Source organism: Homo sapiens, chromosome X (assembly GCF_000001405.40).
Source record: "Homo sapiens chromosome X, GRCh38.p14 Primary Assembly".
NCBI lineage: Eukaryota > Metazoa > Chordata > Mammalia > Primates > Hominidae > Homo > Homo sapiens.
The window spans coordinates 27,608,357-27,634,051 of record NC_000023.11 but is presented as its reverse complement, the minus strand read 5'-3'; the positions used below and the strand labels follow the sequence as shown (position 1 = coordinate 27,634,051).

General features: G+C 35.8%; 1 protein-coding gene across 9 annotated transcripts in view; it reads right to left on the bottom strand.

The window, feature by feature from the left end:
- The window catches only part of DCAF8L2 (DDB1 and CUL4 associated factor 8 like 2), a 281,002-nt gene that overhangs the window by 115,891 nt on the left and 139,416 nt on the right, over positions 1-25,695 (bottom strand). For 7 of the 9 annotated variants that reach the window (XM_024452372.2, XM_024452373.2, XM_024452374.2 and 4 more), the window contains exon 2: positions 2,052-2,173. The gene's annotated coding sequence lies outside the window, so the exon portion shown is untranslated. Of the gene's footprint in view, positions 1-256; positions 2,174-6,593; positions 6,701-25,695 lie in introns of those variants that run through there. The other 2 variants (XM_024452371.2, NR_148432.2) reach the window with 2 other exon arrangements.

Below are 25,695 nucleotides of genomic sequence, written 5' to 3'. Positions count from 1 at the left end.
ACTTGTCCTCGAACAGTTTATATTCATTTGGATATAGAGATGGGATATAGTCGATTCATCAAATTTTCATGGAAATACTAGCTCTGACAAGGTTGTCAAACAGCCTCTCCAATAAAACAAGAGGGAAAATTGACCTTCACCAGCAGAAAGAGAGAAAAATATGCTAATTTTAACATTGATAAGTGTAGGATCATTTTAAGGATAAAACATGATTTCCATGACTACACAATCAGAAATAACCAGCTTTGAAGCGGTTGCCAGAAAAAATTTCCAAGATTTATTATGGACTCAAAGTTAAATTTGTCAGCAATATAATTCTTTTAAGAAACGAGGGATGAAAATGGGATATGTACACTGAAGCAGAGGCTCTAAAAACAGCAAGTTTTCTTCCCACAGCTGTTAGCAGTGGTCAGATATTATGAGAATATTATGTCTGCCCTGGGGATTTGAAATTGGTATCGGCAATTTGGAAAGGGTACAGAATGTGATAAAGGTCTTAGGAAATAGGTGCACCGAGCAAGGGTTAAAGGTAGCTCAGAAGCTACACTGACCCCTGCAAATGTGCCAAGAACAGCCTCACATCTAGAAAAGACACAGGCTCTATTGGCTTATATTCTAAAAGTTTCAACTAGTTTGACTGGAAATTGCTTTGAATATACATTCTTCTTTTATGCTGTACAATTTCCTGGAAAATTAAATACAGCATGCATTTTAATGAAGTGCCGTAAGTATTAAAATTAAAGATGGAAGGGCTTGGGCATCAAGAAAATTATAATTTTTCTCCAATATCATTATCTCAACCCAATTGAACACATCTAGGATTTTATATCACTATTAAAATACTTTGAAACAAATTAACATTTACTAAAGAAGCTTTATGACCTTTCATTTAGAAAATTCTGACTTTGCAATTTTCATGTTACACTAACAATCAAGTATGTTTACTCACAGAAGTTTAACTCATTAAAACCATTCTATACATACATATGCATATGCATACATATACACTTTTACATCATAGATATACGGACTTCATTAACAAACATTGGCTAATGTTTTCAATATACTTTTATAAAGTGTTTATTGTATGTTAGGACACCTTCAAGGTGTTTGGGATATATCAGTGAAAAAACTAGGCAAAATTTACTGCCTTCCTGGAGTTGACATTCTACTAAGATAAGGTAGACACTGAAAAATACATACAGTAAATAAATAAATGATCTAGCATGTTACAACTGATGATTGCTGTAGTAAAAAAAAGAAACCAAATAGAGCAGAGTTAGGGAAATCAGGAGAGCTGGCTATGCTGAGAACAAGGTACAGTATTAAATACAGTGGTCAGGAGTAGGCATCTTTGGGGAGGTGGGACTTGAGCAAAGACACAAAGGATAGGAGAAAGACAGACACAAGGGAAGTACACAATACTCTTGTGTAAGGATGTTCTAGGCAGAGGAAACAGCTAGTGCAAAGACCCTCAGGCAAGACACAAGTGCAAAGACCCTAAAATGCCTCGTGTTTGTGAGCAACAGCCAATGTGCCTGGGACAGAGTGAACAAGGAGTACACAAAAGATGAAATCAGAGAATTAGGGGATGAAAACCATGTAGGGTCTTGCAGGCCATGGTAAACCTTGACCTGTTCTGAATAAAATGGAGCTGCTGGAGGGTTTTGAGCAGAGACATGACGTGATTTCTGTTTTAAATGGACCATACTGGGGAGAGACATCAGCAAAATGGCAAAATAGGACTTTCCTGCACTTGTTTCTGCAAAAAAACTTCCATTTGAACAATTATTCATGCACAAAAATACCTTTACAAGAGATTGGGAAACCAAGGAAGAGATTACAGCACCTGGGTATAGCACATACATTTTTAAAAGACACAATTAAGAAAAGCTTCCCTCAACCTCCGGCAGCGCAACATGGAGGGAGAAACTTTCTGCTTGAGGGAAGAAGAGGGAAGTGAGCACTTTGCTGTGAGGTCCAACACTGGACGTGCCCCATTAAAACCCAGTACTGGGCAGGCCCCTATGACCCCAGACTCCAGGCTTTACCTGAGATTGAGCTTCCCAAGGTCTGTCACAGGAACCAACTAGGATCCTGCAGCCCCAGGCATCAGATGAGCTGCACTACCACCAGGCTGACACCAGTAGCCCCAGGCTCAGTATACCAAAACCTGTGGGACAGAGAAAAAGTAGTTCTGAGAGGGAAGTGTATACCAATAATTGCTTACATTAAAAATGAAGAAATAGTTTACTACGAATTTAAAGGGTACATGAATATTTGGGAAATTTGACTATAACCACTGTAGGGATAAGTCAGCTATTCTGATTAGTAGGAAGGAGTCACATTCTCAGTGCTACAAAATTGTCCTACTTTAAGTTATTCACTGTGGGAGGAAGATACCTTTCTTCCAAGGTTGAATAATACATATAGTCTGTGCTGCCTAAAAATGTGTCTACTGGCCACATTTGGCTATTTAAATTTAAATGAAAATTAAGTAAAACCAAATAAAAATAAAAATTTAGTTCCGCAGTCAAAATAGCCATATTTCACTTGCTTTATAGCCACACGTGGCTAATGACTATGCATTAGATGGAGCAGATAGAGAATAATAACATTTTAATTCATTTTATTTCTTTCTCTTTCCTAAATTGCTCTGGTTGGGACTTCCAGTACTATGTTGAATAGAAATGGTGAAAGTTGGCATCCTTGTCTTCTTCCTGATTTTAGAGGAAAAGCTTACAACTTTCCACCATTAAGTATAATGTTAGATTTCAGCTTGTCATCTATGACCTTTATTATGTTGAAGTACATTCCTTCTATACCTAGTTTGTTGATCAGTTTTATCATGAAATAATGTTAAATTATTTCCAATGCTTTTTCTACTCCTATTAAAAAGATCATGTGATTTTTAGTATTAATTTCGTTAACGTTGGGTATTACATTCATTGATCTGCATATATTGAACCATCCTTGTAACCCCAAGGATGATGCAATAGACGAATGTTTGTGTCCTCCACTCCCCAAATTTCATATGTTGGAACCTAATCCCCAATTTCATGGTATTTGAAAGAGTGGTGTTTGGGATGTGATTAGGTTATGAGAATGGAGCTCTTATGAATGTGATTAGTGCCCTTATAAAAGAGACACCAGAGACCTCTCTTGCTCCTTCTGCCAAGTGGCGAGGCAGCAATAAGACGGCCATCTCTAAATTGGGAAACGGGGCCTCACCAGACATAGAATCTGCTGGTGCCTTGAGCTTGGACTTCCTAGCTTCCAGAACTGTAAGAAATTAATTTCTATTTTTTTATAAGCCACTCAACCTATGGTATTTTGTTATAGCAATTTGAATAGACTATGATGAATAAACCCCACTTGATCATGGTGCATAATATTTTTAATGTACTATTGAATTTTGTTTGCTAGTATTTTTTGAGGATTTTTGAATCTATATTCATCAACGATATTAGCCTTTAATTTTCTCTTCTTGTAATATCTTTGTCTGGCTTTGGTATTATGTAATGATGGTATCATAAAATAAGTTTGGCAGTCTCCCCCTCTCTTCAGCATTTTTGAAGTGTTTGACAAGAACTGGCATTCATTCTTCTTGAAATGTTTGGTATAATTCACCAGTAAAGCCATCTGGTCAGGGGCTTTTCTTTTTCAGAGGCTTTTGATTGTTGATTCAACCTCCTTACTCATTATTATTCTGTAAAGATTTTTACGTCTTCATAATTCAGTCATGGCAGGTTGTATGTATATAGAAATTTACCCATAATCCTAATAATAAAGAAGTAAAATTATTTCTCTTTTCAGATGTTATGATCCTATATACAGAAAACCTAGACTCCACAGAAGAATATTAGAACTAGTTTTTAAATTCAGTAAATTTGCAGACTACAAAATCAACAGAGAAAAATCAGCTTTTTACACACTAACAATGAACTGTCCAAAAAGGATATTAAGAAAACAGTCCCTTTTACAATAGCATAAAAGAAAATAAAATACTTAGGAGTAAACTTAACCGAGGAGGTGAAAGACTTTTGCACTGAAAACTACAAAAGATTGATAAAAAAAATTTACAGGAAACAAGTAAATGGGAATATATCCTATTTTAATAGATTGGAATAATTGATGTTAAAATGTCCATACTACCCAGTGGCCTACAGAGTCATTGCTATTCCTGTCAAAATTCCAATGGCATTTTTTTACAGACATAGGAAAACAATCCTAAAATTCATATGGAGTGATAAAAGACACAGAATAGCTAAAATAATCTTGAGAAAGAACAAAGCAGGAAGCATAATACGTCCTGATTTCAAAATATATTATAAAGCTAGAGTAATCAAAACAGTTTTGTACTGTCATAAAAACAGACATACAGACCAATGGAACAGAATAAAAAGCCCAGAAATAATCCAATGCATATAGTCAAATGATCTTTGACAAGGGTGCCAATAATGCACAATGGGGAAAGGATAGTCTTTTCAACAAATGGTGTTGTGGAAACTGGATATTGATGTGAAAAAGAAAAGAAAAGAAAGAGAGAGAGAGAGAAAAGGAAGGAAGGGAGAAAGAAAGAAAGAAAAAAGAGAGAGAAAGAAAGAAAGGGAAAGAGAGAGAGAAAGAAAAAGAGAGAGAGAAAGAAATTTAACCTCTACTTTAAACCATACACTAAAATCAGCTTAAAAAGAAATACTGAAATGTAAGGGCTGAAAATGCAGAACTCCTAGAAGAAAACAGGAGAAGAGTTGCTACACATTTGTCATGGCAGTAAGTTATTGGCTATGACACCAAAAGCACAGGCAACAAAAGGAAAAATAGACAAGTGGGCCCACATCAATCTAAAAAGCTTCTGCACAGAAACAATCAACAGAATGAAAAGTCTACAGAATGGGAAAAAATTTGTCAACTGTATATCTGACAAGGGATTAATATCCAAAATATATAAGAAACTCATACAATTCAACTGCAACAACAACAAACAACCCAGTTTAAAAAATGGGCTAAAGTCTTGAAAATATATTTCTCCAAAAAAGACATACAGATGGCCAACAGGCATATGAGAAGGTAATCAACATCATTAATCATTAGGGAAATGCAAATCAAAGCTACAATGAGATCTATCACTTCACACATAATAGGATAGCTACTATCAAAAAGACTCACACCTGTAATCCCAGCACTTTGGGAGGCTGAGGCGGGTAGATCAAGAGGTCAGGAGATCGAGACCGTCCTGGCTAACATGGTGAAACCCCGTCTCTACTAAAAATACAAAAAATTAGCCGGGCGTGGTGGCGGGCGCCTGTAGTCCCAGCTACTCTGGAGGCTGAGGCAGGAGAATGGCGTGAACCCGGGAGGCGGAGCTTGCAGTGAGCCGAGATCGCGCCACTGCACTCCAGCCTGGGCGACAGGGCGAGACTCCGTCTCAAAAAAAAAAAAAAAAGACAAGAGCCAACAAGTGTTGGCAAGGGTGAGGAGAAAACAGAACCATTACACACTGTTGGTGGGAGTGTATATTGGTACAGTCATAATGGAGAAAAGTATGGAGGTTCCTCAAAATTAAAAAATAGAACTATCACATGATCCAGCAATCTCACTTATGTGCATATACACAAAGGAAATAAAATCAGTATCTCCAAGAGATATCTGCATTCCCATGTTCATTGCAGCATTATTTCAAATAGCCCATATATGGAAAAAACCCAAGTGGGCATCAACTCATGAATGGATAAAGATAATGTGGTTTACATATCTAGTGGAATATTATTCAGCTTTAAAAAAAAGAAAATCCTTTCATTTGCTAGATCATGTAGGAAATGAAAGGACAATATGCTAAGTGAAGTAAGCCAGCCATAGGACAAATACTGCATGATTTCACTTATATGAGGTATCTATAATAGTCAAATTCATGGAAGGAAAAGTATACAAAGTGATTGGCAGGGTTGGAAAGTGGGGGAAATTGAGAGTTGTTCAATGGGTATAAAGTACGTTATGCTAGATGAATAAGTTCTAGAGATCTGCTGTACAACATGGTGCCTATAGTTAACAATATGGTATTTTATACTTCAAAATTGAAGAGAGTAGATCTCATGATGTTATGTATTCATTGTTTTTTTTTTTTTTAGATGGAGTCTTGCTCTGTCACCAGACTAGTTTTAGATGGAGTCTTGCTCTGTCACCAGACTAGAGTGCAGTGGCACGATCTCAGCTCACTGAAACCTCCAATTCCCTGGTTCAGGTGATTCTCCTGCCTCAGCCTCCCGAGTAGCTGAGATTACAGGCACGCACCACCACGCCCAGCTAATTTTTGTATTTTTGGTAGAGACAGGGTTTCACCATGTTGTCCAGGAGGGTCTCGATCTCCTGACCTCGTGATCCACCTGGCTCAGCTTCCCAAAGTGCTGAGATTACAGGCATGAGACACTGTGCCCGGCCCATATTATGTATTCTTAACACACACACATGCATACACACACACACACACACACACACACACACACACACACACACAACAAAAACAACAATCAACCAATGAAACACACACAAAGGGATGCAACAAAACTTTGGGAGGTGTTGAATATGTCTATTACCTTGAGTGTGGTGATGGGATCATGGGTGTTTGCATATGTCCAAACTCATCAAATTTTACACATTATATATGTGCCATCATTTGCATATCAATTATACTTCAGTAAAGCTGTTTTAAAAAGAAAAAAAAAAGGAATATTTCACCATGCCAGAAAATTCTATTGGATAGCACTGGCTAGGTACTTTTAATGAACATAATATATTAAACATTTGCCGGATGTGCCTAATATTCCTCTTTCTAGATTTTATAGGCTTGGATAATTGTAGAAAAATAATAAGAGAGAAAACACAAGCTTCGTACTACTTATGTATTCTAATGAAATACCAGCCTGCATTTTTCCCATTTCTTTTGCATTTGTCTTTCACAGCTTTTTTTTTTTTTTTTTTGGTCTTAACATTTCTTGGTGCTATTTTTTTCCACCACCTAGAATTAGAAATCAATTCTTTTGTTTCAAATGTGAATTCCCCCTCCCCTAATTATAAGCTGCTACTTCATGTAACAAAAGAATTGATTTCTGAAAGCTCTAATCAGACATTAGCAAAACTAACAATTGGAATTAACATTCAAATTTATGTCCCTTATAAGCTTTAATGGCCAAGACTAAGATATAGACTTAATTTTAGACTCTTATTCACATTTATCTACTTTTTGCCTTTAAATCAATCCTATATGATAGCAGGAATCTTTCTTTGCCTCCTATATTTCAGCTTGCTTTCTCATCCTTTGTGTGCAGTGTTACTTAGACTTCTTGATAACTGAAACAAGTATGTATTTATTCATGTTACATGGTGACTTATCTTCATAAGAAACAAATAAAAATATTACATATCAAATTAATTATTTTAACATGAGTCTGTTTAGATACTTTAGGTAATTTTTACTCAACATCATCTTTTGGGGCTGGGATAATTTGATGTGGCCTAGAAAACTAGCTTTGTGGTTTGATCATTTTCCTCTTTACTCTGAGATCCACCTCCTCTTCCTTTCACGTGCTATGCCCTAAACTACAGATCACAGAAGGATGACTCCTGCAAACTACATTCCCAGATTCCTCTCAAATTGCTTCTTTTGGGCTCACCTAACAGGGAAGCACTGGCTAGAGATTGGAGGTGAGAAGCCAGGGTAAGCCTTCTTCTTGGCTTCTGGAGGTATCTCTGTCAGTGTGTATAGCAATTCTGTGGTTGCAGAGCCCACAAGGCAGCGCCTTCCTCTGAGGTCCCAGCTCCCGTCTTGCAGCTCCTTCTATGATTCTAGCTCCCGTCAGATGAGCACTTCTTCATGTCTCCAAATTCCCCTTGGTAGCTACTCCTGCTGCTCCCTCAAAAAGCCCTTCTTTTAAGTTTTCAGCTCCTGTGAAGGGAACTCAGATCTTGGGCTCTGGTAACATCAGCTACTTCTCTTTTATTTATTTACTTATTTATTTTTCAAGTTATTTTTTTTTAACTTTTATTTTAGGTTCAGGGGTATATGCACACGATTGTTACATAGGCAAATTGTGTATCACAGGTGTTTGGCATACAGATTATTTTGCCACCCTGGTAATAAGCATAGCACCTGATAGGCAGTTTTTTGGTCCTCACCCTCCTCCCACCCTCCACTCACAAATAGGCTCAGATGTCTATTGTTCCTTTTTTTGTGTTCATGTGTACTCAGTGCTTGGCTCCCACTTGAAAGTACGAACATGTGGTATTTGGTTTTCTGTTCCTGGGTTGGTTTACTTAGGATAATAGCCTCCAGCTGCACCCACGTTGCTGCAAAAAACATGATCTCATTCTTTTTATGGCTGCATAGTATTCCACGGTGTATACGTACCACATTTTCTTTATCCAGTCTACTGTTAATGGGCATTTAGGTTGATTCTGTGTTTTTGCTATTGTAAACAGTGCTGCAATGAACTAACATGTGTGTGTGTCTTTATGATAGAACAATTTATATTCCTTTGGGTACATACTCAATAATCAGATAGCTGGGTCAAATGGTAGTTCTGTTTTAAGTTCTTTGATAAATTCCCAAACTGCTTTCCACAGCGGCTGAATTTATTTACATTCCCACCAGCAGTGGTGTGAATAATGGAATAAGTGTTCCATTTTCTCTATAACCTCACCAGCATCTGTTATTTTTTGACTTTTTAGTAATAGCCATTCTGACTGGTGTGAGATGGTATCTCACTGTGGTTTTGATTTGCATTTCTCTAATGATTAATGATGTTGAGCACTTTTTCATATGCTTGTTGGCCACCTGAATGCCTTCTTTTGAAAACTATCTGTTCATGTCATTTGCCCACTTTTTAATGGGGTTTTCTGTTTTTGGCTTGTTAGTTTGTTTAAATTCTTTAGAGATTCTGGATATTAGACCTTTGTTTGACGCATAGTTTGCAAATTTTTTCTCTCATTCTGTAGGTTGTCTGCTCTGTTGATAGTTTCTTTTACTGTGCAGAAGCCCTTTAGTTTAATTAGATTCCATTTGCCAATTTTTCTTTTTGTCACAATTGCTTTTGGCATCTTTATCAGAAATCTTTGCCAGGGCCTATATCCAGAATGGTATTTCCTAGGTTATATTCCAGGGTTTTTTAATTTTAGGTTTTACATTTAAGCCTTTAATCCATCTTGAGTTTTTTGTATGTGGTGCAAGGAAGGGATCAATTTCAATTTTCTGCATATAACTAGCCAGTTATCCCAACACCATTTACTGAGTAGGGAACTCTTTCCCCGTTGCTTGTTTTTGTCAAGTTTGTCAAAGATCAGATGGTTGTAGGTGTCCAGATTTATTTCTGGGTTCTCTATTCTATTCTACTGGTCTGTGTGTCTGTTTTTGTACCAGTAGCATGTTGTTTTGGTTATTGCACCCTTGTAGTATAGTTTGAAGTTGGGTAATGTGATGCCTCTGGTTTTCTTCATTTTTCTTAGGACTGCTATTAAGGCTCTTTTTTGATTCCATATGAGTTTTAGAATAGTTTTTTTTTTCTAATTCTGAGAGGAATGTTCTTAGTAGTGATAGCAATAGCATTTACTCGGTAAATTGCTTTGGGCGGTATGGCCATTTTAAAACATTCATCCTTCCTATCCATGAGCATGGAATGTTCCTTCTATTGACTCTCCAGCCCTAGTAATGGAAGCAACTTCTTGCATTTGATAACCTCTGGGCTATCTCCCCTCACCCTGTTATTCTGTGAGGTCTTCTAACAATTTGGTACTACCTTCCCATATGAAACTCCCTTTGTTGAAGTACTTGACATGAGTTATCTTTTCCTGACTCTACTGTGACTGATAATCCCTGATATTAGTATGGTATCTAAAAGTTGCAGGTAGGCACAATAATAATTGGTCTTAGAGTCAGAAGAACTATGTCTAAACTCTGACAATTCTAATTCCTTAGTATGTAACTAGAGAAAATACATGTACTCTGAGCTTCAATATCTTCACCTGTAAATCTTAGAAAATAATTCCAATTCCATTGGTTGATCATGCATATTAAATGAGATAACATAAGTAAATGCACATAGAAACTACCTAGTAGGAGGTACTTGATGAACATTAAGAAGTTTGTGAAAGTATTTTCTTCCTTCATTTTAGGAAGCAATTTCAATGTTGTAGCTTTAGTACTTGGACCTTTATCTAATTGGCAGACCTCAAACAAAATTGGTGTGAAAGGAAATCTAATTCTTTCCATTCACACGTGTTTAAATCTGCATTGCTATTTTCTTGGAGGTTGTGTGAGGTGTATCTTGCTGTTTTAAAAAATGGTGTCTAATTAATCATGAAATAAATCATACTCGGGCTGCTATGCAATCTTTTTTCTTTTAAATATAAATTTATTTGGTTTTCTTTGCCAGTATTGATTTTTTTTTGTAGGCAGTAAGTAGAAAGTTGTAACACAAAACTTTCCCAAATTTTTTTTACCCTTTTCATTTATATTTAAAACCTTGTTGTTATAAATGTTTTTCATTGAAAAACCCTCAAAAACTTCTCTTTTAGGACTTTGATTTGTAATATATATTAAAAATAAAACAGGTATATTTACTAAAAGCATTCCAGTTTTTTTTCCATTTATGCAGTATTTCCAGTATGACTTTTTAGGTTTACAGTAAATTAATACAGCCTTTTCCATCTTCTCTGCATTCATATTTCCTCTCCAGTATGGATCATGTTTCCTAACAACAAGCAATCTTTTACAATAAACTATATATTCTAGGATTTTTCAGTTTTTTTTCCCCTGAAGGGCAGTGAGAGAACTCTATCCTCAGTTCTATTAAACTCTCTCTTCTTACTGTGACCAAACCAGCCCTTTCTGGTAGCCCAAAAGTAAGTGGTGTGAAATGTAGACTGTATTATGATCAAAAAGTTTCCAGCAGTGAGCTCAGTTTACAGCCACCAGTCATTGAAGTCTATCTCTTGTCACCAGCAAATACATTTATAACTTCCTTGTTCTAAGCAAAAGTGTTTCCTTATAATTGGAGCAATTCCAAGTATTACAGAATTATGTTTTAACCAACTACTTTGCATTTTAATTAAATTTTATGGTGGACTACAATATACATGGGGGAAATGCACAAAGTAGAAATATACAGTACAGCCCTTTCTCATACAGTGAACTTCTGCTTGATGACCCTCAAGCTTAAGAAATAAAGTCATCAACCCAAATAACTCCCATACACCCTGTCAAAATCACTATTTCTCTCTGCCAAAGATAACCAGAATTGTATGGTAGTTATTTCCTTCTTTTCTTTGTGATTTTATTTCCTCAGTACATATCATTAAACGTTATTTAAGTGTACCTGATTTTTAAATGTTACCTGAATGGAATAATCCAGAAGTATCTAGGTTGCTCTAGTCAGCATTATGTTAGTGGGAAATATGAACGTAGCACTAATTCACTTATGTTAATGTTTCCTAGCATTTCATTGTTTGACTTTCTACAATTTATTTATCAATTTTACTTTTAAATGAGTTTGAGATTATTGCCAATTTGAGATATTACATGTAATGATGCTAATGATGTTCTTTTTATATATTTTTATTTTTTATCTTTTTTTTTGTAGATGGAGTCTCGCTCAGTCGCCCAGGCTGGAGTGCAGTGGCGCGATCTCGGCTCACTGCAAGCTCCGCCTCCTGGGTTCACGCCATTCTCCTGCCTCAGCCTCCCTAGTAGCTAGGAATACAGGTGTCCGCCACTACGCCCGGCTAATTTTTTTGTATTTTTAGTAGAGACGGGGTTTCACCGTGTTAGCCAGGATGGTCTCGATCTCCTGACCTCGTGATCCGCCCGTCTCGGCCTCCCAAATGATGTTCTTATACATACTGCTTGGTGCACAAATGCCTACACTCTGTTGAATAGAGATGTAAAAGTAGAATTTCTGAGTAACAGGTGATGTACGTCTTCAAATTTGGTAGATAATACCAAATTTTATTTCAAAATACTTTAAACATATATTCTTACTAACATCTTTTTTTTTTGTTGTTGTTGTTGTTGAGATAAGGTCTTACTCTATCACCCAGGCTGGATTGCATGGTGCAACCTCAGCTCACTGCAGCCTTGACCTCTCAGTCTCAGCAATCCTCCCACCTCAGCCTCCTGAGTAGCTGGGACTACAGGCATCTGACACCGCATCTGGCTAATTTTGTTTATTTTTTGTAGAAACAGGATCTCACTGTGTTGCCCAGGCTTGTCTCGAACTTCTGGATGGAAGCTATCCTCCTGCCTCAGCCTCCCAAAGTGTTGGGATTACAGATGTGAGCCACAGTGCCTGCCCCAGCATCTTAATAGAACTCCTATTGCACACATCCTAGCCTACACCTGGTATCTTATACACGCTGTATGGGTGTGGGGGTGTACGTTTGCGTTTCTTAAATTTTAGTGACATCTTACTATAATTTTAATCTGCATTTTGTTGATTACTAATGATTTGAGCCTATTTTATATATGGCTATAGGCCACTTTTTTCCTTTACTGTGGTGGGTGGGCAGGAGGAGTTTAAAGTGTTGGTTCAATTTTTTTTCCTGTTTTCTATTAGGTTATCAGGATTTTGCTTGCTTATTATTTTTTCCTATTTTTGTTATGTTAAAATACACATAATATAAAATTTGTTATCTTAACAAAAAATTATTTTCCTTCTCCAATTTATTGGTATAGACAAAGTAACCATTTTAAGCACAGAGCTAAGTAATCTTAAATACCTTAATAACATTGTGCAACCATCATCACCATCGATCTCCACAACTCTTTTCATCTTGTAAAAGTGAAACTCTATAGCATTCTACTCTCCACACATTAAAAAATATCTCCCCATTCTCCCCTCTCCCCAGCCTCTGGCAACCACCATTCTACTTTTTGTCTCTATGACTGTGATTACTTTAAATATCTCATATAAGTAGAATGGTACAGTATAAGTATTTTTGTGACTGGTTTCTTCCACTTAGTATTATGTCTTCAAGATTCATCCATGTTGTAGCATACGACAAAATTTCCTTCCGTTGTAAGGTTGAATATACTATTGTATGTATATATCACATATTGCTTATCTATTCATTTATCCACAGACACTTTATATGCTTCCATATTTTAGCTGCTGTTAATAATGCTGCTATGAGCATGAGTACATAAATAGCTCTTTGAAGCCCTGTTTTTAATTATTTGGGGTACATATCTAGAAATGGAATTGCTGGACCATACATCAATTTTATTTTTGACTTTTGAAGGAACACCAGTTTTCCACAGCAATTATACCATTTTACATTATCACCAAAAATGTACAAGTGTTACAATTTCTCCACAGCCTTGCCAATACTTGATATTTCTTCTTGTTGTTGTTTTATAGTAGCTACCCTGATGAGTATGAAGTATTACATCATTGTAGTTTTAATTTGCATTTTCCTAATGATTTGTGATGTTGAGCATTGTTTTGTATGCTTCCGGCCATTTGTATATTTTCTTTGGAGAAATATTTGTTCATCCCTTTGCACATTTTCTTCACATTATCTTTCATCAGATATATGGTTTGAAAATATTTTCTCCCATTCTTTGGGGTGCCTTTTTACTCTGTTGATGTTGTTTGTTGATATACTAAATTTTTAAATTTCCACAAAGTTTAATTTGTCTATTTATTCTTTTGTTACCTGTCCTTTTGATATTATATTTTTGGAGTGTATCCTCTGGCTATATTTTTGAAAGTGGTACTACCGAATCAAAGTTCAAAGGCATTTTTTAGATTTTGTCAAATTTTTCAACATAATTACACTATTGTACTATTCTGTAGTCCCATTAGCAAGATATGAGAGTGTCTGTTCTCTACAGTCTTGCCAACAGAGGGTGATATTGAGCTCTCAAATTTTTGTCAATGTATATATGAGAAATTTTGTCAATTAGCTTGAATTTACATTCTCCTCATTATAAGTGAAATTTAGCATCTTTTAATAAGTTTAATAATTTTTGTAACTTTAAAATTGTTTTAAAATTCGAAATTTTTCATGTCTTTTTGCCAATTTTTCCATAAGTTTATTTATTTAGGTTGTTAAACTTCATCTTTTAGATTATTTATTAAGACATTAATCCTTTAATTGTAGCATGTATTGCAAATATTTTAGTCTTTTTTTTACTTTACCTATATTTCTTTTTCTTTTTTTTATCATGCAGTTTTTAAAATTTTAAGCAGTAGAAGTTATCCTTTCTTTTACTGCACCTGGACTTTGAGTCATAGTTAAGATAGTTGGTTTTTCAGGAATTTGAATAGGCTACTAGTGAATTATTTCCTCAAACATTTTTATTGGAAGGTGGAAAGGAAGCAGCTGCCATTTTGTAGATAACATGTAGTGATCAGCTGACAGATCTCATTAGCATGAAGCAGCGTCTAGACCTGAATTACACTAGCTTCTTTGAATTTCCCTTTACTTTTCCTGACTTCTGTGCCAACTTGTGCTGGAGTGTCAGGTCTGCTTATGCTCCAGCATCAGATGTGGAGGGAGAACCTTTAAAAGACTGTTTACCCAGTTCCCACAATTGGGAAACCCAGATCCCTGTAACAAATCTCTCTGTCTCTGTCTGTCTGTCTCTCTCTCTCTCTCTTTCTCTCTCTCCTATCTATCTATCTATTATTTGTCTGATCTATTTCTGTGCTTTTCTGGATGAGGCCTCACTTATAGAGAAACGGTTTCTATTGGTAAATTATTTTGTGGAAAAGCTGAAAGGCTTATCCCTGTTTGGAGATTTACAGTAGCTATTGTATTAAAATCTCTAAGATAACCTGGAATAAATAAATCTTATGCTATATTCATCAAAACATTGTCATACTTTCTTGACTTATTACCAAAACCACACCTAAAATTGTTTCATATCTCATAGAGCTAGTTTTCCAAATAAAATTTTTGTGGAATATAGGTAGATGGATAGGTAGGTAAGTAAATAGATAGATAGATATAAGATAGATAGATAGATAGATAGATAGATAGATAGATAGATAGATTAGATATAGATATAGATAATATCCTGAAGCTATATCTTAATCCAGAAGAGATCGGCTTAATTATAAAAAAATTGAAACATAAAGGCCATACATTTTGCATAGTCTTTGTTATTTAAAAAAAAACTAAACCTTTTCCCAAAGCTTTACTACTTTTGGTCTATGATCAATAAAGCTTAAAATCCAATCATTATTAATTTGCCTCTCACTTTTCCACTAGTATTAACAGAACTTACAATAAATAGGAGGACTGAGTTTTGAACACGTATTCAAGTTGATCACTTCACATACACAACCAGCCAAGAGGGCGCATGGGGGTTCAAATCAATTTCAAGCTCTTCTAAATGTTTTTTGCTTCACGGGGCAGAGCTACATCTGCCTGGAGTAAGGAACATCTTTTGTAATTAGTACAAAGGCTCCATCTGCACTCCAAGATGAATGACAATGGGGATGTGCATACCTGGAGAAGCGTCTATGTCTAATCTGAACAAAGGTGCCATAGCTACTTGTGTCTAATGCACCTAAAAAGTCTATGAACGTTTTCTCATTTTCATTTTGCCAAAAAGAAAATTGTGTTTTGAAGAGGATAAGTAATCTATTTATAATCCCAAGCTAGTAAGCTGAGTCCAATCCCCATTTTTTTCTTTTCCACTGTAATAGACTATCTTTTTACCCGTGTGTTACCCCCATGCAGCATTTCTTCCTGTGTTATGTTGTCTAATTATTTCTAACTGCCTGCTTTCTTGTGCATTCTCTTAAAAATCTAGATTATGATTCCACTGTGACAAATGGGAAATGAATGTTTTTCATCCTACTGTATATTGTTCAAATGTTTTCTATGTGTATGTCATTTTGAAGTTAATTCTGTAATTTTATTTTGCAAATTCATTTTGCATATTTTATTGAGTTTTCTCTAAGCTCCTGTGTTTTTCTAGCAGCTTTATAACTCTCTACAACCAGTCATGGAATAAAAAAATATACCTAAGCATCCTCTAAGAAGTTTCAAAGCCATATGATATGATAACATAGAATGCTTCCATATGTTAGAACCATAATAACAGAAGTTGCACACTAAAAATTGTTTTACTTTTGAAATAGTGCCCATTTATATTCCACATTATTGAAGTAACATTATACTTTCAATAAACATCTCTAGACATAATTATCTAGTTCCTCTGTCCCATAAAGGGTGGCAATCACTTTATTTATTGTCTAAATCATAAAAGGCAGTGATTTTTTAAAAATTCCCTAAATAAAAAATATCTAATAAGTGAGCAGTTAACAGATGCACTGACTAATCACTAGGTAGCTGACAACTGGATATTTTGGGAATATGTAAATATCAGTGGATCATTTGTAATAAAAAACAGAAACTTATAAAAAGGGATAATAATAATTAAAGAGGTAAGATAATGGAAGATTCTTTTTCAACATGTTTTCATTTTCTTAAATATGTTGTGATCCTAAATAAGCAAATTAGGGAACCAGGTTGATTACTATGTAAAAATCCTTGAATCATATGATTCATTTCATAGCTTTTAAGACTCCATGAAGGATAATGTTTAAGACATGTTAGGCAGAACACCAAGTGGTATAGATTTAAAACAGGATCTATTGGGAGAAAACTTACAAGCAGAGAAGTGATAGAGCACATACATTTCCCTCAGCTCTACCTATCCCACAGTGAAAGCTGAGCACAGCTCTGCACACAACACAATGTACTAGATAGGAGGAATCTTCCTCCCAAACCTCTAAATATCTATATATTTATAATGAAGGTCAGGGCAAATCTATGTAACTAAGTAACAGAGGAACTCCTTCGTCAGGGAAATGGGCTTCTTAGAAATGAGGAGTTCATGAAGCCCCATAACTGGTAGCAGCTTGTTATTTTGATGAGTTAAATCAGACTACTTGGACCATTCTTCTAATCTATTAAAGGAGGGAGTGATATTAACCCAAGAACCCTCCAGATTTGTTGCTTTTTATGTATTTAATCAGTCTAGCTTGAAACCTCAGTAGGGTAGTTCCATGGCTTACAAATAGAATGGTGTATTCAAAATGCAATGTATAACTTTTTCCACAAAGAGAATGTATTTTCCCTCTTGGGAAAATCCATTTTGTATGGTTTTGATACGGCTAATCTTGCCCCCAATATTTTCTTCCTCTACTTTCTGGGCAACAAGAATTGAGCCAGTGATTGCTGCAAGATCCTGTGTTCAATCCGTTTTCCCTAGGACAATTACCCCCAGAGATATCATGGACAAAGAGCCTCTCTCTGATGGGGATGTTAATCTGTAGACTATGGGTCTAGGGCAGCAATTCCTTCCGCCTTAAGAGAGAATCAACGTAATACGATAAGTAGTGGCAAGAGTTGGAGGGAGAAAGAAAAACTAATGACATTGTTTAAGCTTTATGTTTAGTTACGACTGAACCCAAGTCCACATTCTTTTGTATATATAAATAAATTCCCCTATCAGCTTAAATTAATTTCAATTGAATTGCTCTTTTTTGAATATAACTGGAGTAATAATTTTTTAAAATCTGCTACTACCATTTTTGCTATCAGAATTAATTATTCCAATTCTCATAGAGACTATGAGACTTATATTTCCAATTTTCAGGTAATTGATTTTTTTATTATAATAACATTATGACTGATGGTCGATATTTTGGAAGTCAAAAAACTTAATGTACTTTCTAAGAGAGGATTATTCACTATTGGAAAGGCCAAAAAGAGCACTGTATCACAACACCTGAGGAGAGCATAAAAAAACAAACTGAGAGAATACCATAATACAATGATACTAGAAATAACAGCAATAGTATCTTTAGCCACAAAATAATCTAGAAATTTCATATCTATTTTTTTATTTGAAGAATATGATATAAAGCAAGGATTCAACCATTTATGTCCCTAAGAGGGGAAAAAAGAGTATTGACAAGGTATTCAGTTTAGTTTCACAAAATATTCTGGCTGAAAAAAATTTAAATGTCTTAGTTATATTGCTATTCTTTACTCCATAAATCTAATATATCTTCCATCTATCTATCTTATTATCTTCTCTATTTTTTAAATAAAAATATTAAAAAACACTGCCATACATGTGAAATATGAAGGAAAAAGAAAGGTTTCTAGTGCCATTTATTTTATTATTTATTTCTGAAGTTCATAAACTTTAAGAGGTTTTAATGACATTGTAGATCTTTGAATATTGAGGATTTAAGTGATTAGGAACTTAGTATTTTAATATTCTCCTCTGATCTATGTTTCACTGATTCTGTTCAGAGTTAATTAGAAAAAGCTTAAAATTGATAATGAACAAAGTTTTATTTTTATTAGAATTATGCTGAAGAGTTAGCATATAATGCAGACTTCTTGAATTGCAAAGTCTTGGTGAACAGTGAATCTATTTCCAGGTCACTTTTTCAAGTCAGAAAATATAGATAGATAGATTAGATAGATAGATAGATAGATAGATAGATTGATAGAATCTACTATTATTTTTTGTGCGTTTAATCATAATGCAAAAAAATTCAAAAATATTTATGGCTTCTGACAAAGCAAAAATTTGAAGGTATTCAAGAATATAGTCATTTCTTCTTTAGTATTTCATGTTTTAAAATTTATTGATTATAATTATAAATGTTTATAAAATTACATTGATTCATTATGTTCAAATGTGTTCTAAACTTTAAACGTGTTCATTCAAAAGAAGTGTGACTTTTTAGTTCTAAGGCAAACAAGAATCAGAAGTCTTTTTCAAAAAAACTGCAATGACTACAATAGGGATGAGTTGGATATCTGTTTGGCCTCTCATGTCCAGCATTCATTAATTCCTTTTTAGAGTAACAGCACTACAATTCCCTTTGGGCAAGGGGCACGTCTTCCTTTTCTCTCACACATCTTTCCCCACCACTGAAACCTCTAGCATCATTGGATCTAGCAAACAACATGACCCAAAAATGCAGAGATGCTTACATTATAACTTAGACTTGCTACAGAGCACTTCTTTGCTCTGGGACTAACTCAAAGCTAGCAGCCTTTTGTATCATTGTGTATATGGGCTAAAGCAGTGTCTCGGGGTATGGAACGTTTCCTATAGAATCTGAACTTATTCCAAAATTGACCACATAGTTGGAAATAAAGCACTCCTTAGCAAATGTAAAAGAATGGAAATCACAACAAACTGTCTCTCAGACCACAGTGCAATCAAATTAGAACTCAGGATTAAGAAACTCACTCAAAACCGCTCAACTACATGGAAACTGAACAACCTGCTCCTGAATGACTACTGGGTACATAACGAAATGAAGGCAGAAATAAAGATGTTCTCTGAAACCAATGAGAACAAAGACACAACATATCAGAATCTCTGGGACACATTTAAAGCAGTGTGTAGAGGGAAATTTATAGCACTAAATGCCCAAAAGAGAAAGCAGGAAAGATCTAAAATCAACACCCTAACATCACAATTAAAAGAACTAGAGAAGCAAGAGCAAACACATTCAAAAGCTAGCAAAAGGCTAGAAATAACTAAGATCAGAGCAGAACTGAAGGAGATAGAGACACAAAAAACCCTTCAAAAAATCAATGAATCCAGAAGCTGGTATTTTGAAAAGATCAACAAAATTGATAGACCGCTAGTAAGACTAATAAAGAAGAAAAGAGAGAAAAATCAAATAGACACAATAAAAAATGATAAAGGGGATATCACCACCGATACCACAGAAATACAAACTACCATCAGAAAATACTATAAACACCTCTATGCAAATAAACTAGAAAATCTAGAAGAAATGGATAAATTCCTGGACACATACACCCTCCCAAGACTAAACCAGGAAGAAGTTGAATCCCTGAATAGACCAATAACAGGCTCTGAAATTGAGGCAATAATTAAGAATCTACCAACCAAAAAAAGTCCAGGACCAGATGGATTCACAGCCGAATTCTACCAGAGGTAGAAAGAGGAACTGGTACCATTCCTTCTGAAACTTTTCCAAACAATAGAAAAAGAGGTAATTCTCCCTAACTCATTTAATGAGGCCAGCATCATCCTGATACCAAAGCCTGGCAGAGACACAACAAAAAAAGAGAATTTTAGCCCAATATCCGTGATGAACATCGATGCAAACATCCTCAATAAAATACTGGCAAACCGAATCCAGCAACACATCAAAAAGCTTATCCACCAAGATCAAGTTGGCTTCGTCCCTGGGATGCAAGGCTGGTTCAACATATGCAAATCAATAAATGTAATCCATCACATAAACAGAACCAAAGACAAAAACCACATGATTATCTCAATAGATGGAGAAAAGGCCTTTGAGAAAATTCAACAGCCCTTCATGCTAAAAACTCTCAATAAACTAGGTATTGATGGGCCATATCTCAAAATAATAAGAGCTATTTATGACAAACCCACAGCCAATATCATACTGAATGGGCAAAAACTGGAAGCATTCCCTTTGAAAACTGGCACAAGACAGGGATGCCCTCTCTCACCACTCCTATTCAACATAGTGTTGGAAGTTCTGGCCAGGGCAATCAGGCAGCAGAAAGAAATAAAGGGTATTCAATTAGGAAAAGAGGAAGTCAAATTGTCCCTGTTTGCAGATGACATGATTGCATATTTAGAAAAACTCCATCATCTCAGCCCAAAATCTCCTTAAGCTGATAAGCAACTTCAGCAAAGTCTCAGGATACAAAATCAATGTGCAAAAATTACAAGCATTCCTATACACCAATAACAGACAAACAGAGAGCCAAATCATGAGTGAACTCCCATTCACAATTGCTACAAAGAGAATAAAATACCTAGGAATCCAACTTACAAGGGATGTGAAGGACCTCTTCAAGGAGAACTACAAACCACTGCTCAATGAAATAAAAGAGGACACAAACAAACGGAAACACATTCCATGCTCATGGATAGGAAGAATCAATATTGTGAAAATGGCCATACTGCCCAAAGTAATTTATAGATTCAATGCCATCCTCATCAAGCTACCAATGACTTTCTTGACCAAATTGGAAAAAAACTACTTTAAAGTTCATATGGAATCAAAAAAGAGCCCACATTGCCAAGACAATCCTCAGCAAAAACAACAAAGGTGGAGGTATCACGCTACCTGACTTCAAACTATACCACAAGGCTACAGTAACCAAAACAGCATGGTACTGGCAACCAAAACAGAGATATAGACCAATGGAACACAACAGAGGCCTCAGAAATAACACCACACATATCTACAACCATCTGATCTTTGACAAACCTGACAAAAACAAGAAATGGGGAAAGGATTTCCTATTTAATAAATGCTGCTGGGGAAACTGGCTAGCCACATGTAGAAAGCTGAAACTGGATCCCTTCCTTACACCTTGTACAAAAATTAATTCAAGATGGAATAAAGACTTAAATGTTAGACCTAAAACCATAGAAACCCTAGAAGAAAACCTAGGCAATACCTTTCAGGACATAGGCATGGGCAAGGACTTCATGACTAAAACACAAAAAACAATGGCAACAAATGCCAAAATAGGCAAATGGGATCTAATTAAACTAAAGAGCTTCTGCACAGCAAAAGAAACTACCGTCATAGTGAACAGGCAACCTACAGAACGGGAGAACATTTTTGCAATCTACCCATCTGACAAAGGGCTAATATCCAGAATCTACAAAGAACTTAAACAAATTTACAAGAAAAAATCAAATAACCCCATCAAAAAGTGGGCAAAGGATAAGAACAGACACATCTCAAAAGAAGACAGACACATGCAGCCAACAGACACATGAAAACATGCTCATCATCCCTGGTCATGAGAGAAATGCAAATCAAAACCACAATGAGATACCATCTCACGCCAGTTAGAATGGTGATCATTAAAAAGTCAGGAAACAAGAGATGCTGGAGAGGATGTGGAGAAATAGGAACGCTTTTACACTGTTGATGGGGGTGTAAACTAGTTCAACCATTGTGGAAGACAGTGTGGCGATTCCTCAAGGATCTAGAACTAGAAATACCATTTGACCCAGGGATCCCATTACTGGCTATATACCCAAAGGCTTATAAATCATGCTACTGTAAAGAACATGCACACGTATGTTTATTGCAGCACTATTCACAATAGCAAAGACTTGGAACCAACCCAAATGTCCAACAATGATAGACTGGATTAAGAAAATGTGGCACATATACACCATGGAATACTATGCAGCCATAAAAAAGGATGACTTCATGTCCTTTGTAGGGACATGGATGAAGCTGGAAACCATCATTCTGAGCAAGCTATCGCAAGGACAGAAAACCAAACATCGCATGTTCTCACTCACAGGTGAGAATTGAACAATGAGAACACTTGGACACAGGGCAGGGAACATCACACACCGGGGCCTGTCGTGGGGTGGGGGGACGGGGGAAGGATAGCATGAGGAGAAATACCTAATGTAAATGACGAGTTAATGGGCGCAGCAAACCAAAATGGCACATGTAAACATATGTCACAAACTTGCACGCTGTGGACATGTACCCCAGAACTTAAAGTACATATATATATATGGGTCAGATGGGTAGATTGCAAAAATGTTCTCCCGTTCTGTAGGTTGCCTGTTCACTATGACGGCATATATATATATATATATGAATAAAAAGAATCTGAAGAAGTTTGCCAGGCTTCGCACTTTCTTCTTCATGATAAGAGACCCATGATGTAATGTTTCTTCTTTTATTTTGAAAGGTATATTCTAAAGCTCAGATCCATAAAAATCGCTTAGATATGGCAGTCCTGTGAATATTCCTTAGATTTATATCCCATCCCCGTAGTGTACCTGTACTATCGGTACTATTGTCTCCGTTGTGATAGATACCTCTTGATCATCCCACCTGATCAACACAATATCATTGAATCAATGTTCAGACAGTCCAAAGCTCTTCAGACACATTATAATAGAGAACAGTACAGTTAACATAGCCCTGAGGCTAAAGTGTTAATGAATTCATTTGTCTGTTCCACAGGAATTCAAATCGTTACTGATGTTTTTTTTCCGATTAAAAAAGAAAGAACACCTTTTCCAAATCAGTGGTCTCACACCATGTACTAGAGGCCGTATTAATCTGCTCTAACAATGATACCATGTCCAGCACAGCACCTGCAATCACGGTTAGTACTTGTTGAAGTGTGCCATAGTCTACAGTTATTCTCTTGGATCCATCCAATTTCTGCAGCAGCCAGGTTGGTGAATTAGAAGTACAGTGGGGACCACAATCCTTGTAGCTTTAGATCCTTAGGAGTAGCCTTACTTTCTAGCATTCTTTCCAGATGCGTTAGTGCTTTTGATGTACTCTCTTGGCCAGAGAGGAGGCAGTTTCAGAAGCTTCTGTTTGGTTTTCCTTACTCTGATAGCACTTTCCTCAAAAATGTTCTAAATTCAAACTATCAAAATATGGACAAATTCCATTAAATAAAAAATATCATTGCCAATGAATTAATTGCAGCACTGTACATTGTGGATTTTTGTCAAACACTCTAACATCATGATGTTTCCTTCGTTAAAATAAGTATTTATTATATATATAATTTGAAAAACATCACGCACACACACACACACATGCACACACAGGCACACATATACACACATCCAGTCCTGAACTGGAGAATAGGCCCATTATAACACTTGCTATGACACCAAACTTACCCAAAGGATATTGGGCACTTATTAATGTAGTTTCGAATCCCACATTTAGGCATATGGGTGTAGGTTCTTAGGTGTTTTGTTCAAGTATTTCGTCTTAAGAGTACATACTTATTGTAGGTATGATTTTTCTCTTATTTGATCATTCCAGAACACCTGGAATAACGTCATGAAGCCTAAAGGCATTCAATGAATAGTTTTTGATGGTAGGCATTATTTGAAACAGTTGAATATCTGGTCTATGCTATCCACCCAAACACTTTAATATATATGGCTTAACAATATAGCAAGCCTGATTTCATTTTAATGGTGCATTATCTGGGTGATTGTGATTTATTGTAACAGAGTGTAAATTCAACTATTGAGTCTTTAACAATAAATAACGAAGAGGTTTGTAATAGAGAAAATAAAGCATTATGTTGATAGAGGCAGAATTGAAATGGTGACAAAATACAGCAATCTACTATCAGACAACATAATTAAAGTTTAGCTGTGGGGTGCCAGAATTCTATTATTTTAAGATGATTTGGGTGTGTGAGTGTGTAAGCTAGAAACAGTTGTTCTCTACTGGAAAACAGTATTTTGGTTTCTTATTATAAAATAATAACTATATACATTTTCTATAAGAGCATCAGACATATGTAATAAACTTTAGCACTAAAACCAAGAGGCGTTTGGCAGGGAATCCAGTGACCTGAGAATGGGAACACTGATGATGACCTGTAAAGAATTTGAGGGGCCTGCCAAGAGACGCTTCTGGAAAACTGGCTTTTGCTTCACCTAAACGTGCCCTGGACACACAGGAATTATTGTGGTTTGTTTTATACTAGCTGTTTTATATCTAGCTAATAGGTTGAAATGTAGCCAGAATTTTCAGAATAGACCATTATCATCAGGGACCTGGAGGATGTAAGTGCTGTGAGAATAATAATGTTAATTCCAGTGGTGCCTTCCACAGCTTTACCTCCTATCAGGGACTTCGGGAGACCTGGAAAGTCAAATCTTTTCCCAGGATTGTTTACTATTCTGTACTTTTGGTAAGCTTGTATCTTTTCTCGATTAAAGAAATTTATACCCCATAACATTTTTTCACACCATCCTGACAGCTTCAGTGCAATATTTAACTTCTGTTAATTTTTAGTTTCTTCATCTGTAAAATAGAGATAAGGCCCTTGTGAAAAAGATACAAGATAATGGATGGGAGGCTTTGCCCATAGTTCGTGATACATGGTAGAAGCATAATACATGTTAAGTCTCCAGTATCACTTGTTCTTCGGATAAACAACCAAATAGAGGCATAATTATAACTTTTGGGATGTCAGCTAAGTTTAAGAGAGTCCCTTTTCTCCACGAAGTATTGCCTCAACCCCTCTATCTAGTTGTGTGTGCGGCTGAAACCATGGTAATAGTACGCAATGTCATTCTATGTACTATTGATGGGACCAGTGTTGGACACCAGGCCTGAGCTGAATTAATCAGATTCTCTCTCCTAGGAAAGTGAAATTGCCATGCAGTTTGGCTCTGTGAAAGGCTGGAATAGAGGGACTTATAAATCTTAGCCAGAGAAGGAACCTTCTTCTGTCTTATTTGCAAAACATCACAGAGAAAAAAAAAAAGATGTTCAGGATAATAAGACTGAAGAAGATAGAGACGCAGAAAAAAATGGAATGGAAGAGGATCAACTACATGCCTATAACTTTCCTAATTATTGGTTCTGGTCTTCCCTTACGTGCAGACTCCCTTTGAATTTTAGGAGAAACTGCAGTATCCATTCTGTAAATATGCATTGTTGCTTAAGTTAGCTGGAGTTATCCTCCATCATGTGTATTCAAAAGAAATTTAACTAAAGCAAAAAGTAAAATGATGCTCACCAGATTATATTATTTACCAGTATAAATATTTTAAATTACTTCTTTTATTTTATTTTATTACAATACGACATCAAAGTCTACATGATC